Here is a 15,659-nt window from a genome sequence, read left to right on the forward strand (position 1 = left end):
TTAATTATTAACACTACTAACTATGATATTTATGGATTTTTCTCCATTTTAGTAGTGATTTATACACTGCATAATTGTTCTAATCCATACCTTATTACCTTAGAAATACAATTCATTTTTCAAACAGAATGTCTGTTAGCTACTCTTTTACTTTACTTAATTCATCTGTTGACTTTTTTCTTATTTTTTTAAATAGTCCTGAAATGGATATTTTCATACATTCTTGGTAGTAATATGTATAGGTGTTACCCTTCTAAAGAGCACGTTGGCAGAGGACCTTCAAAATTGACCCAGTTATTTCACTTCTAGGAAAATATCATTAGGAAGTAGAGATTTTAAGTGTGAATTCTGGAGTAAGAGTGCCTGGCTTTGAATGCAGCCGACAGACTTACAAATTATATGACCTTGGGTTAGTTTCTTACCTTTTTAAGCCTCAGTCTTTGCATCTGTAAAATTGGTTTTAAAATAACACCCATCTCTAGTTGTTGTTGTGAAAATCAAGTGATATAAGTAAAGTGCTTAACATTGTGGCTCTTATGAAATGTCAATAAATAATTGCTGTTGTTAATAATCATAGAAAGATTGTTCGTAGCATTAGTTAAAATAGAAAACAGGTAGGAAAGGATTTGAATGATTTTCATTTATATAAGGGAATACTATACCATGTAGTTGTTAAATAATATTTTTAAAGAATATTTAAAGACATAAGAAAATGCTGATAATGTAGCATTGAGTGAAACAGAAGGATAAAAATCTCTATATGCTCTAAGGTGTTAATTATGTTTTAAATTATCTTCTAATGATGTTATAAAATATTGTTTTTAAAATGTTAATTATGTTTACAAGTAATGATTCTTAAAAATATAGAAAAAATCTGGAAAAGGGGGCTCACTGTTAATAATTCTTAAAACTAGGTAATAGGTAATGGAGATTTATTATATTCATACTATTCTATTTCTACATATTTTTGTTTTTCATAATACTTTTTAAAAAGAATGACAAGAAGAATAGATTAAAAACAGATTAAATCCTTGATATTAGTGCTTTGTAACCTGTTTAAATGTAAATTAACTCTTGACCAGTTTTGTTATTAAACCATTATTTATACTTTTTAATGGTTTCTTAAAGCATTTGAGAGATGTATATCAGACTTGTTTGGTTAAGGATGAATTGTGTCTGAATATCTGTCTAGAAAATAGCTGTTTTAAGTATTTTCCGTATCTGAAAATGATATGAGGACCATCTCCCACTACTGCATTCCCATAAGTGGTTTTATTTTTCATCTTTTAAAATGGTGCAGATTTTTCAACATAGCCAGCGTTCGTACATTTCCAAAGTCAACTTTACATTAGTCGGGGTGAACAGTATCTTATTTTGACAAAATTTCCCCTCTTTAGACGGAAATGAGGCAAAGAGGAAAGGTGTAACTATTTCTTCTTGTCTCTATAACTGAAACAATATTCAATGTAAGTGAATTTTACTTGTAGCAAATATTCCCTTTATAAGCCCTCCATTTATCTTGTAGGTGGCCCTGTAAAATATACTTTATTTGATTTTACACACTGTGCTCATGCTTTGGCTTTATGCCCAACCTCCCAGGCTGCAGACATCTACAGTAGACCCCAGTGTTAAAGAAAACAAGCCCCTCAAAACCCTAGAAAATATTACAGTTATTAATAATAAATTCTCAGTAATATTCACATTGGAGCAGTAATAAATTATATTAATAGTAGCAGTCCTTAAAAATGGTCCCACTCTTCACTAAAACATTCAATCTTACCCATGTTCCAAATGAAATGATTATTGTTTTCTACTTTCTACTCTTACAAGAAAGAGGTGTTAAGGGTATTCTGTTTATTTGTTTGACTTATTCTCTTTAATACAGAAGTTAAAAAATAAAGGCAAAGCACATATATGTATAGTATCAACTAGCACCAAATCCTTCGTATGTGAGAGAAAATGATCTGCTTTGGAAGCCAGTTACATACATTTAAGAAATATGTCAAGCAATCTAAAATGAATATGTTAAATGGAAAATGACTAGTCCTGACAAATTCTTCTAAAATGCAAAATAGCGGTAATTTAGAAGTTTATGGAGGAAGGGTAGATCTTGAAGAAAAATATGTGTTTTAATTAAGGAAGAAAATAAAGACCGGGAAGAAAGAAGAGGAAGAAAGATAGGGAGGGAGGCAATCCAGGCATGAAGCAGACGCTCCTGGATTGAAGTAGAAATACAAGAGGCATATTGAGGAAACCATGTTGGAACAGATGGTTTATATAAGGCAGTGCTTTTCAAATTATGTTCTGATGCCACCCCCAGAGGGGCTAGCCAGCAAGGGGTGAAGAGGCCCGCTAGTGAAGTCTTTAAGTGAGGCAGTGCTGCAGGTATATTAGAAAAACTGATCTGACAGTGGGCACAGAGGAATGTGTTGGGAAGCTATTCAGTAAGTCCGATGAGATGGCATGAGCCCAGATGTATTACTGGCCACGAGTTTGAAAATAAAACAAGAGAATGGATGCATGTACTCTCACCAAGGGAGAACCACCAGGAGTAGGTTACAGATGGGAAGAATGTTGTACTGGGGGAAGGAGGTATCAAAGCCCCATCAGTGAAAGAAGTGAAGAATCCCACATTGAATGTAAATCTGATGATACTAGATTGTATGAGAATACAGAAGATAATACTTTGATTGTATCCAAGTTCTAAAGGGAAATATAAAGTGAATTAAAATAATTAGCTTGAATATGTAAAACATAACTTTGGGATTATATCTAGTGTCAGCGGTGTGGATGAACACACAGCAGATCTGGGAATTGTGTTCTTGTTTACACTCTAGTTAGTTTTTCCTTAGATGTCTCTAAACTGAAAAGCTCCTGTGCGGTGGAGGAGTGGTGGGGGTGCTAAGTTAAATTGAAAAGCCCCAAGCTTTGTGGCACAGCTAAAAATCCTGTATCCAGAGCCTGGGGGTTGGCAGTTCAGTGAAGTCGCTTTCACAGGTAATATTGTTAAATAAGGCAGAGTTTTTTTTTTTTTTTTTTAGAGACGGAGTCTTACTCTGTCGCCCAGGCTGGAGTGCCAGTGGCACGATCTCGGCTCATTGCAGCCTCCACCTCCCAGGTTCCAGCGATTCTCCTACCTCAGCCTCCTGGGTAGCTGGGATTACAGGCATGCATCACCATGCCTGCTAATTTTTGTATTTTTAGTAGAGACAGGGTTTCCCCACGTTGGCCAAGCTGGTCTCGAACTCCTGACCTCAGGTAATCCATCCCCCTCAACCTCCCAAGGTGCTAGGATTACAGGCATGAGCCACTGCTCCTAGCCTTAAGGCAGAGATTGTTAATGATGTGGCTTCTAGTTGGTAAGTATAAAATCCCCAGCAAGAGAAGCGTATTCTTCCTGTGACTTGTTGACATAAGCCCCAAACCAATGGATAAGGAAGCCACCAGGCATGTACTGCCCTCTGCAGCAATCAATCAATTGGTAAACAAACTAACTATAAATGAACTAAAAATATGGAGAGATGTAAATATTTGCTCCAGTGTAAGAAAGACTTATGTAAATGCAAACACTTATTTACTCTAAAGGTTCACAAATATATATGTGTTATGGGCTGAATTCTGTCTCCCCAAACTTCATATATTGAAGTCCTAACCCCCTGCGCATCAGAATGTGACTACGTTTGGAGTTAAGTTATTTAAAGGTGTGATTAAGTTCAAGTACGGTCTTTAGAGAGGGCCTTAATCCAGTATGATTGGCTTCCTTCTAAGAAGAGATTAGGCCACACACACAAACTGAGGGGCCATTATGTGAGGACACAGCTAGAAGGCTACAAGCCAAGGAAAGAGGCCTCAGAAGACACCAAATCTGCCAACGTTTTGGTCTTGGGCTTCTAGCCTCCAGGACTGTGAGAAAGCAAATTTCTGTAGTTGAAGCCACCCAGTCTGTGGTATTTTGTCAGGGTAGCCCTAGCAAACTAATACAGTATGCATGCATTTCTGTAAAATTTGTAAATTAAAACAAAAGATAATAACCTACAAAAATATTGATTAACATATAAAATAGACAAGGAAGGACCTAGAATCAACAACATTCCAGTAGCAATGAGCACACTTAGCTCCCAGATCTTGGCTTCAAATACTGTTCTCCAATAAAAGGAACTGGGGCTCCTTGGAGAAATAGCTGATTCTAGGAATGGGGCAGGAGATACAGTAGTCCCCCTTTATCAGAGGGGAATATGTTCCAAGATTCCTGGTGGATGCCTGAAACCACGGATAACACCAAAGCCTATATATACTATATTTTTTTAATCTGATAACCAAAACAGCTGCTAAGAATAAGCGACTACAGGGCAGGTAATGTGTACAGCATGGATACACTGAACAAAGGGATGATTTGTTATTTGTAGAGAATAACTCCCCACTCAAGCATGGGCTGTGCATGGTGACTTCTTTCCAAATAATATAGTACTAAAAAGTGGACAAAAAAGAGTAACAGCAAAATCTGACAAAGTCCTACTTCAGCATGGTGGTCAAGATTAACAGCAGTGATAAGTCACGTTGATAGACTGTGTCCTTGATATAATGTGATAAGAATTGCATTTGACCTCTGTGGTTTTCCTCCCGAAAACCCATATCTCACTCTAATCATGATTAGAGTGAATAGAGAAGCATCGTACAACATACTTAACCAGCACTCCTGAAAACTGTCAAGGTGATAAAAAACAAAGTCTGAGAAATTTACAGCCAAAAAAGCTAAGAGAGTAGCTGAGTGTAATGTGCTATCCTAGAATAGAGAAAGGAGACTAGGTAAAAACTAAGGAAACCTAAATAAAGTATAAAGTTTAATTGATAAACAAAAATCAGCACTGGTACATTAATTGTAATAAGTGTACCATGCCAATATAAGATGTTAATAATAGGGGAAACTGGGTATGTAGTATATGGGAACTATCTGTACTATCTTTCCAACTTTTCTGTAAAATATTCTCAAAAAATGGCCATTGAAAACAACAGAAAACAAATAGACAAAGTTATCGTATACTCATCAAAAGGCCAGTAAGCACTTGAAAAAATTTCAAATTTGCTGGTATTCAGAAACACACATTAGGCCAGATGCTGTGGCTTGTGCCTGTAATCCCAGCACTTTGGGAGGCTGAGGCAGGCAGATTGCTTGAGGTCAGGAGTTCGAGACCAGCCTGGGCAACATGGCGAAATCCCATCTCTACTAAAAATACAAAAATTGGCGAGACATGGTAGCACATGCCTGTAATCCCAGGTACTCAGGAGGCTGAGGCATGAGAATCGCTTGAACCTGGGAGACGGAGGCTGCAGTGAGCCGATGTCACACCACTGCACTCCAGTCTGGGCGACGGCGAGACCCTGTCTCAGAAAAAAAAAAAGAAATGCGCATTAAAATAGCTATAAGGTTATTGTTTTTCTTCTGTTTAGCTTGCAATTTTTTTTTTTCCTAACGATGATACCTATGATCAGCAATGTATAGGAATGTAAAATGGATCAGCCTTTCTGGAGGGCATTTTGGTTAATAGATAAAAATGTGTGTACCCCTTGAAGCAGCAACATCACAACCAAGAAGTGAACATCAGTGATGACAAAGTTTTTCACAGTGTTGTGTAGAATAGTAAAACCTCAGAAATTAATCAAAAGGTTGTAAGCATGGAATTGTTTACATAAAGTAAAGGAACGTCAATGTGTGATGCAATGCAGACATTGAGAATAATACTGGCAGGGCATGGTGGCTCATGCCTATAATCCCAGCACTTTGGGAGGCCAAGGCAGGTGGATCACTTGAGGTAAGGAGTTTGAGACCAGCCTGGCCAACATGGCGAACCCTGTCTCTACTAAAAATACAAAAAAAATTAGCCGGGCATAGTGGCACACACCTGTAATCCCAGCTACTCAGGAGCCTGAGGCAGGAGAATTGCTTGTCCCCAGGAGACAGAGGCTGCAGTGAGCTGAGATCGCACCACTACACTCTGGCCTTGGTGGCAGAGCAACACTCCATGTCAATCAATTGGTCAATCAATAAATAAAAATACTGTAGGATAACATTTGAGGACAAAAAACTTCTGTGCCATATTATGTGAAAATATCCATTGTAAACTGTGTATACTGTGTCGTGAGATTTCTGTGTCTATCTTTTCATTATTCATTTGTACATATGTCTTGGACCTGGGATTTGGTGATCTTTACAAATGGCATTAGATTAAGTCCTATTCGTGATTTAAAGTCAATTTGTAAATGCTTAAAGTTATTTTAATGCATATTATAGTTAATGTATCAAGAATTGCCTTACAACTCTGTCATAATTAGAACCCAGTGATTCTAACTAGTGGAGTGAAGGACCAAGTTTTCATTACCACAAATTGTGTACGTGTATGTTTATGTCTTAGGTATACTACACGTGGATAAATAGTGGGATTTGTGTGCAATAAGATATTGCCTGTGATTATCTCTGACTGGCAGGGTTGGAGCAATTTTTATTTTATTATTGGTGATTTCCTACATTTTCTAAATGTTGTTCAAGGAACCACAGAATATTTTTTGCAATGAGATAAAAAGTTTTAGAAGTCAATTTTTTCAAAAAATAAAGTTTTTATTTTCATGAAACTGCTATCTAAATATTTAAATCATCTTTTTTTTTTTTTTTTGAGACAGAGTCTTGCTCTGTCACCCAGGCTGGAGTGCAGTGGCACGATCTTGGCTCACTGCAAGCTCCGTCCCCTGGGTTCACGCCATTCTCCTGCCTCAGCCTCCCCAGCAGCTGGGACTACAGGCACACCCGCCACGCCCGGCTAATTTTTTTGTATTTTTAGTAGAGATGGGGTTTCACTGTGTTAGCCTGGATGGTCTTGATCTCCTGACCTCGTGATCCACCTGCCTCGACCTCCCAAAGTGCTGGGATTACAGGCGTGAGCCACTGCGCCTGGCTAAATTATCTTTTTATTAAAAATATATTTTTACTTTTTCTGAGCGGATTTAATTTACACACAAATTTACAGTTATTTGTTTATTAGGTTAAATTTTTATGAGCTGTTTAAAACATTGTTGTGTTTGAACAGTATTCTCATTTTTTTTACTTTTAGGCTGGTGTTTGGAATGCTTTATCCTGCATATTATTCATACAAAGCTGTGAAAACAAAAAACGTGAAGGAATATGTAAGTATAGTTTTATGAGTGATTAATCTGAGTTTAATATTTTAATGATACACACTGAAAAACTGCTATTCTCTTAGAAACGGCTGGAGTAGTGTTTTGGGTTAAAAGGTGTTATGAATGTGAAGTAACAAAACTAATCTTTTTTAAAATCTTTGAAGATAACCCCAAAGTGGAGTTTCAATAAAAATAAGTGTATGGTTCCCAAGATGAGTAATTGAATAGGTCTTGATTTAGTCTATAAATTCCAGTGTAATAAGGGGTTGGAGAACTTTTGTTTGTTTGACTTGGGGAGGGGAGTTGTGGGGCTTTTTGCCTTATAAATTTATAGGTACATTGAGAATATCTCTCTGGCCTCAAAGCTTTTTTCCTCTTCTGTAGGTGTTTCATCACTTTCTAATCTATATAAATATGCAGATACTCCATCACCACTGACAACTGCAGTCTTTTTTCCTTCTTGAATCAGACTCCATTTGTAATTATTTTGCTTTGATTTGCGATGAGTCCTCAATATTTCTTTGTTTTTAGTTTCCTCTTCCCTATTCCCTAATTTTCTTTTTCTGTCACTAACATTTATTTTTTAGGATTTCTGAAGTTCTCCTCATTTCTCATTTTATTCATACTGTGTAATAGTAAATGGCCTTCCCCACCTATAAATCCTGATATAGTTTAGTATATGTGATGGAGTGAATTTTTAGAGAATAGCAAAAGCATATTGTATTGGTGGTGTTAATCAACAGGATAAGCAGTCAATACTGAGATAACAGCACATCAATAACTATGCCTCTTTTTTTTAAATTGAGGTGACATTCACATAACATAAAATTATCCATTTCAGAGGCATTTGATGCATTCACAATATTATACATATATATAATACAATATAATACAACTCTTTCTAGTTCCAAAATATTTTCGTCACCCCAAATAAAACCCTGTGCCCAAGTTGCTGACAACCACCAACCTGCTGTCTGTATGTATTTACCTATCCTGGATATTTCATATAAATAGAATCATATAATATGTGACCTTTTGTGTCTGGCTCCTTTCACTCAGCATAATGTTTTTAAGGTTCATACGTATCTTAGTATGTATTTCATTTTGAATGTGTTACATTCCTTTTTATGGCTGAGTAACATTCTACTGTATGGATATATGACATTTTGCTTATCCATTCATCTGTTGACAGACATATGAATTGTTCTGTCTTTTGGCTATTATGAATAGTACTGCTACAAACATTCACATACAAGGATTTGTTTGAGCACCTGCGTTTGATTCTTTGGGATATATAGCTGTGGTTCTTTGTAAGGAATCTTGGATGATAGTCTTGTCATCCAATTGGTCAAATGAACAGAGATTAGATCATTATTCTTTATATTTTCAGGGTTTTTGGGGGGTGGGAGGAAGGGACAGACTCTGAAACTTTTATAACTAACTCATTTTATTAAACTTTTACGGTCATTTTTTTCTCTTGTATATAAAACTAACTTCTGAAGTGAAGTATATATTAATATAAGTCAAAATGGTGGAATACATCTGGCAGAGGTAAATAAGTTACATAGTTGGGCTCTCAAATTTTTCTATCCTTTTATTATATGTGTCTTTTGGACCTAGGATTGGTGAAATTAATCTTAAGAGATGGAACCATATTAAGTCCTGGTAATTTAAATTCATTTTATACATGGCTTGAAGGTTCATATTCTAATATAAGTTGGAGTAAATACTTTGCGTATTGTTTTATAGTGCTGGCATACATTAGTTTCTAGATGCCAGCGTGTCTGTTAACAGTGCTTCTCAAGCTGCCTGTGGTACAGGACCACTTTTGTTTTTCGAGTAAGTCATAGACTAATCCTTGTTTGTTTTTTTTTTTTTTTGAGACGGAGTCTTGCTCTGTCACCCAGGCCGGAGTGCACTGGCGCGATCTTGGCTCACTGGAAGCTCTACCTCCCGGGTTCACGCCATTCTCCTGCCTCAGCCTCCCAAGTAGCTGGGACTACAGGCGCCCGCCACCACGCCCTGCTAATTTTTTTGTATTTTTAATACAGATGGGGTTTCACCGTATTAGCCAGGACGGTCTCGATCTCCCAACCTCGTGATCCACCCGCCTCGGCCTCCCAAAGTGCTGGGATTACAGGCGTGAGCCACTGTGCCCTGCCGACTAATACTTTTATAAAATGAAATACTAATCACTAGAAATAAAGAAATGAAAAAAGCCCCTAAACCTGAAATACAACCCAGAATTTTTTTTTTTTTTTTTTTTTTGAGACAGGGTCTTGCTGTTATCACCCAAGCTGGAGTGCAGTGGCACCATCATAGTTCACTGTAGCCTGGACCTCATGGGCTCAAGCGATCCTCCTACCTCAGCCTTCTCAGTAGCTGGGACTACAGCCGTGCACCACCATGCCCAGCTAATTTTTTTTTTTATTATTTTTTATAGAGACAGAGTCTTACTATGTTGTCCAGGTTGATCTTGGACTCCTGGCCTCAGGTTATCCACCTACTTCAGCCTCTCAAAGTACTGGGATTATAGGCATGAGCCACAGTGCCCAACTCCCAAATTTTTTATTGCTATATTCAGTAACATGAAATTACTGTCAAATAATGTACTTTTGCCTATTGTTTTCATTATTGTATTATTAATATACTTACAGTAACACAGTAGTGCTTTTACAGCCTTGTACAATTCCATAGACAACACTCTGCCCTACTGTGTAATATTTTAATTGGAATTCTCTTTTGAAAGATAAAATTAAGAGTTGGCCATCATTTCCAAACACCATGAAAATATGAGTTGAAGAATCTGCTTCTGGCCAGTGCTTAATAAATGGGAACCATTTCCCTATTTGGAATGTTTTTTATATTGTTATTAAATTAGATCTTTTTTTGAGTCTAATTCAATGTACAGTTGAAGTACAGGGTATTATGTCTCTCAACATTGGGCCCATTTCACCTAGAAAGCATTCAAGAAGCCCGGGATATATAATAATTTGGTGTGCTGCTGTGTGTGTGTGTGCATTGTATATATATTTGTGCTTACGGTATTCTCCAATCTTTTCTCCCAAATCTGCTTTTTTTTTTTTAGGAAAAGAAAGCTAAGTACAAATTTTAAATGTTTAGATGAGAAGCTCTAATAACTTGAGAATATTATCAGTAAGCACAGAAATACCATCCCTAAAATAAACGTCAAAGGTAAAGGGATAGCATAAGAAATATAAAAATAGTTAATAAACTGTAATAAAAAATAGGCTTGGCCACGTGCAGTGGCTCACAACTGTAATCTCAACACTTTGGGAGGCCAAGGCAGGTGGATCACTTGAGGCCAGGAGTTTGAGACCAGCCTGGCCAACATGGTGAAACCCCGTCTCTACAAAAAATATAAAAATTAGCCGGGTATGGTGGCATATGCCTGTAGTCCTAGCTACTGGAAAGGCTGAGGTGGGAGAATCACCTGAGCCTGGGAGTCGAGACTACAGTGAGACATGATCCCGCCACTGCACTCCAACCTGGACAACAGAATGAAACCCTGTCTCAAAAAAAATACTAACAATAATAATAAAATAAAAATCAGAAAGATTAATGCATTTATAAATGATGTGCATCAATTCAATTTTGTTAATATTAATTTTTAGAGACTTAAAAACAACAACAAAAAAAGACTTAAAAAAAAGAATTTGTGTGTTTTATTACCCCTGATACAACACTCAGATTTTCATTACTAGATTAAAAATTGGGGATTGATAAGGATGGTCTAACCCTGAAATTTTTATTCAACTTTATAAAGATAATTGCTTCTTGGCATTTTGGCTAAGATCAAGTGTGAAGATAATTTAGGCTATGGAAGATAATCCATCAGCATTCAAACTGATGAGAAAACTATAAACATGATATGTATTGAGATATATGTATATGTGTGTATTTAGTTACATAGTGAGCATACATACAGCTTTGCACAGTTGTTTTCAGAGAATACTCATTAATAAAGCTGGAATTATCTGTACATAATTTTGCAGTAATACCATGTCTCTGGAAAGCATTTCTTTTTATTTAACTTTGATTGTAAGTTTAGGGTTTGTGCAGGTTTGTTAGGTAAATTTGTGTCATGGGGGTGTGTGGTACAGACTCTTTCATCACCCAGGTATTAAGCCTAGTACCCGGAAAAAAGATTTTCTTAACCATCCATTTGAGAAGACCAGAATAATGAGTAATTGAGGAGAAATTAGGGAAGGTAAAAGGCAGGTGGCTGGAGCTGGTTTGATAATTACATGGTAATCAACTCTACTTCACAAATAAAATGAGAACTAAAAGCAAAATAAATGGCCAGGCACTGAAATAAGGACAAGGCATCTGCCTTTGACAGGGAAATGTGTCATCTCTGAAGACCCTCCCAGCAACCATATTGCCTTCCATCAAGGCTGCTAGAGAGGCCTGGTGCAGTGGCTCACACCTGTAATCCCAGCACTTTGGGAGGCTGAAGCAGGCTGATCTCTTGAGCCCAGGAGTTTGACACCAACCTGGGCAACATGGTAAAACCCCATCTCTACAAAAAACACAAAAATTAGCAGGGCATGGTGGTGTGTGCCTGTAGTTCCAGCCACTCAGGAGGCTGAGGTGGGAGGATCACCTGAGCCTGGGAGGTCGAGGCTGCAGTAAGTCCTGATTGCACCACTGCACTCCAGCCTGGATGACAGACAGAGTGAGACCATCGGGTGGGGTAGTGGGATCAGGGGGAGGCTGCTAGAGAGACTAAGTTGAGATGTCACCTTGGAATAGTAATATTTTCCATTTATATGATTTCCTACGAGTTTCAAAGTACTTTTGTTTATTATTGTTTTAATTTGCTACCCTGGATAATTTTTTGAAACAAATTATCACACTCTTATTGGCTTAGAACAACGTAAATTTATTCTCTTACAGTCCTAGAGGTCAGAAACCTAAAATGAGTTCACAGGCCTCACCCCTTCTGGAGGGTTTAGGGGAAAGTCTGTTTCCCTGTCTACTCCAGCTTCTACAGGCTGCCCGCATTCCTTGGTTTATGGCTTTATTCTTCCATCCTCAAACCCAGCAATGTTGGGCTGAGACCTCTTCATGCTGCCATCTCTCTGGTTCTCTCTCTTCTGCCTCCTCTTCCACTTATAAGGACTCTTGTGATTACATTGGGCCCACCTGATTAATCCAGGATAAACTTCCCATTTCAAGGTCAGCTGATTAGCAACCCTAATTTCATCTGCAACCTTATTTCTCCTTTACGGTGTAACCTAACATACTCAGTTTCCAGAGATTAAGACACAGACATCTTTAGGGGAGAGAGGGCATTTTTCTGCCTACTCCAATAATATCTCAGTTGTTCTAACTGCAGTCTTATGAAGTAGGCATAGAAAATATTCCAGTATTACAGGCTTAGAGAAGTGAATTTACCTGGAGTCACATGGATTGTAAAGACAGAATTGGTACCAGATCAGAGATCTTCTGTTTCTAGTATTTTATTCATTCTATTCTACCATGCTACCTTTAGAAACACAGGTGAAGATTCTAGCTTCACGTAAAAGTTGAAACAGCCTTCACAACCAGCCAGTGAATATGCATCTGATTAATTCAAAGCTGGACGTTCGGGGGCCACGGCCATATAGATATTTTCCAAGAAGGACAATCAGGCAGCTTACCAGGGCGGGACCCACCAGCATTGAAATCACATGTGAACAAAGAGGTTCAAAATGAAATAGAAGGTTTTGAAAATTCTGTAAAGTTCCTCCTTTAAAAAAAAATAAAATCCCTTAAATCTTGACAATCTTCTAAGTATTTCCAATCTAATTTCACTCTGACAAAAATTTTGAACATTATTTGCTTGCACCCAGTGCAAGGCTAAGTCCTAAACTTAGCCATCTAATTTAAACCGACTTTTTTTTTTTAATTATACTTTAAGTTCTCGGATACATGTGCGGAACGTGTAGGTTTGTTACATAGATATACATGTGTGACATGGTGGTTTGCACCCATCAACCTGTCACCTAGGTTTTAAGCCCCGCATGCATTAGGTATTTGTCCTAATGCTCTCCCTCTCCTTGCCCCTGACCCTCCAACAGGCCCCAGTATGTGATGTTCCCCTCCCTGTGTCCACGTGTTCTCATTGTTAAACTGACTGTTAACAGTTTTATCAGAACTCTGTCCTCATAAAGTTTTCCTATACAGTAATCCTATCCAAATTTTCTTTGTTTTATACATGGTATTTTCTTAGTAAAATTAACCTTTTTATATTGCCCTGTTATGTTTTTAATAGCACCTTATAGTATCTGATGTTATATTCTTTATTTGAATATGTTTATGTTCCCCACCAGAATAAGCTCCATGGGGAATGTTTTGTTGTTTTATTAATTGCTATATTCCTGTACCTAGAACAGTACCTGCTGCATAATAGGTACTCAATATTTCTTGAATAAATAAATGAGAAAAGTTGACTTTTAAGTAAATATCAAATATTGTGCTTAATAGCTTGTACATTTCTTAAGTGGATTGATCTAGTTTACCAGCTTTGATTCTGCTGGGTTAGGGAGAATACAGTCCAGTCTTAACATTTATCCCAAAACCCAGTTTCTTTGTGGTATTTGGTTATGACCTAAATTTCACTGCTATCTACTTCAAAATTATTTTCAGAAAGCAAACATTTTCGGTTAATTTACTTCTTCCCACCCCCAACTACTACCATTCCCCTTAAGCCTGCAAATGGTAGATTGCACCTGATAAAACAGATGCTGTGCTCAAATCAAAACAAATGGAAAGTACTGTGTATTTTGGCAACCTTCCTTTCTTCCTTTGCCTATTTTTAAAACAGAGCTTTCCTAGGATATAATTTCCTGCATAGTGTGGCTGATATGGCCTACTTAAAGACTTTCAGTCTTGCAGTAATTGAAATGTAAACTTACTGAAGAATTAGTATGGTTTTGCAAATTTTTTCAGGCTCATTCCATCTCATGACTTGAAAATAGAGTGTTTACTTCCAAGTCGTGTGTAATTGCTGTAGCTTTTCTAGGAAACCAGTGTTCTTATTCTAAGAATGTTGGAGAAAGCAGCAATGAAAAGATTGGCTAACAGCACTTACAAATCAAAATCAGACATTTGGTTCTGAGATTTACTGTGAGCAAGAACAAAGAACAGGAAAAGCTGGGAGATTACTCTCTAAAAGGCCTAGAAATGGCCCTCTAAAAGTCTGCTGACTTGGTTTTTGAAAGTGACCTAATTTTCGACTGACTATTTAGGTGATATGAAAATGAACAAATATACCACATGCCAGTTCTACAGATCTTATTGATAATGAAATCTGAAGTTGTCTGCTAACTTTAGAGTGGAAATAGAAGGGGAAAAACATACTAAAGAACTTTTCTTTGTTCTCAAGAAGTGTTTCCTAGGTATCTTTTGATAATTTTGATAAAAAGTATTCATTTCATTTAAAGGTTTTAATAATTTAGAAAGTTTAAAGATTAGCCTACTGATTATGATGGGATTTTTACTGAAAATTAGTTTTGTCAGGCTGCTTGCTTGTCTGTGTATTTTCTATTCTAATTTAGTTTTTATTTTTATCAAAGCTGTATTTACTTATAATGTAAAAAGTCAATTAGTTTTCCAAGGCTTATTATGGAAAACAGTAGTTCCCCAGGCTCCCATCCCTATGTCTAACTCTCTAGAGGCAACTAGTTCAAACTCTTTTATCTGAATCTTTTAGCATTTATTGCCATATTCCAAATAACATACTTATTGTGCTATTTCTTAATTTTTCAGATGGACGTCATGAGTTAACTTCCTTCTACGAAAGATGATTTAGCAGTTACCCAATGCCACTATACACTTGCATATTTCTCTGTTCTTATAGCTTCCCAGAATCATTGCAGTATAATTTGTTTAGCTCAATATTCAATATTTATATTATTTAGACAAAATTAGAAGCAATAGAATATAGAGGTAAAGTGCACAATGTCTGGAAACAGGCTTCCTAGGTTTCATCCTAGCCCTACCCATTACTAGCTCTACCTTTGGACAAGTTATTTAACCTTTCTGTGCCTCAGTTTTCTAATCAGTAAGTAGTAGTAAATAATGAACATATTATTTAATTATATGAATGCACATAAAGCATTTAAATCAGTACCTTAAACATAACAGTACCTGTCATATAATCATTTTCATTATGTAAACACTATTCACAGCTGATCTCCACAGTATCCTGCCATTACCATTCTTTACTCTGGTGTTATTCACTATCTTGTTGTTTCATTTGTGTGGTGTTCTCTGTGTTCTTACTCTGTATCCAGACCCAAACTTTCCTAGAGTTGTGTGCATTTCTTCTCAGTGATGGTTCTTGTTTTGGATTCTCTGATTTCTTAATTACTTAATTTCTTCATTTTGATAAAATGCATCCTTCCTGAGAAGGCTATAATGAGAGGTCAATTTCTTTTTTTTTTTTTTTTTTTTTTTTTTTTGAGACAGAGTCTCGCTCT

The 15,659-nt window shown here is 36.8% G+C and overlaps 1 protein-coding gene across 3 annotated transcripts in view; it reads left to right on the top strand.

Annotated features, from left to right (window-relative positions):
* REEP3 (receptor accessory protein 3) overlaps positions 1 to 15,659 on the top strand; it is a 103,728-nt gene that overhangs the window by 37,834 nt on the left and 50,235 nt on the right. For all 3 annotated transcript variants that reach the window (NM_001001330.3, XM_011539501.3, XM_017015896.2), the window contains exon 2: positions 7,104 to 7,176. In NM_001001330.3, coding sequence (NP_001001330.1) covers positions 7,104 to 7,176 — 73 coding nt within the window. The remainder of the gene's footprint in view (positions 1 to 7,103; positions 7,177 to 15,659) is intronic.

Source organism: Homo sapiens, chromosome 10 (assembly GCF_000001405.40).
Source record: "Homo sapiens chromosome 10, GRCh38.p14 Primary Assembly".
Classification (NCBI taxonomy): domain Eukaryota; kingdom Metazoa; phylum Chordata; class Mammalia; order Primates; family Hominidae; genus Homo; species Homo sapiens.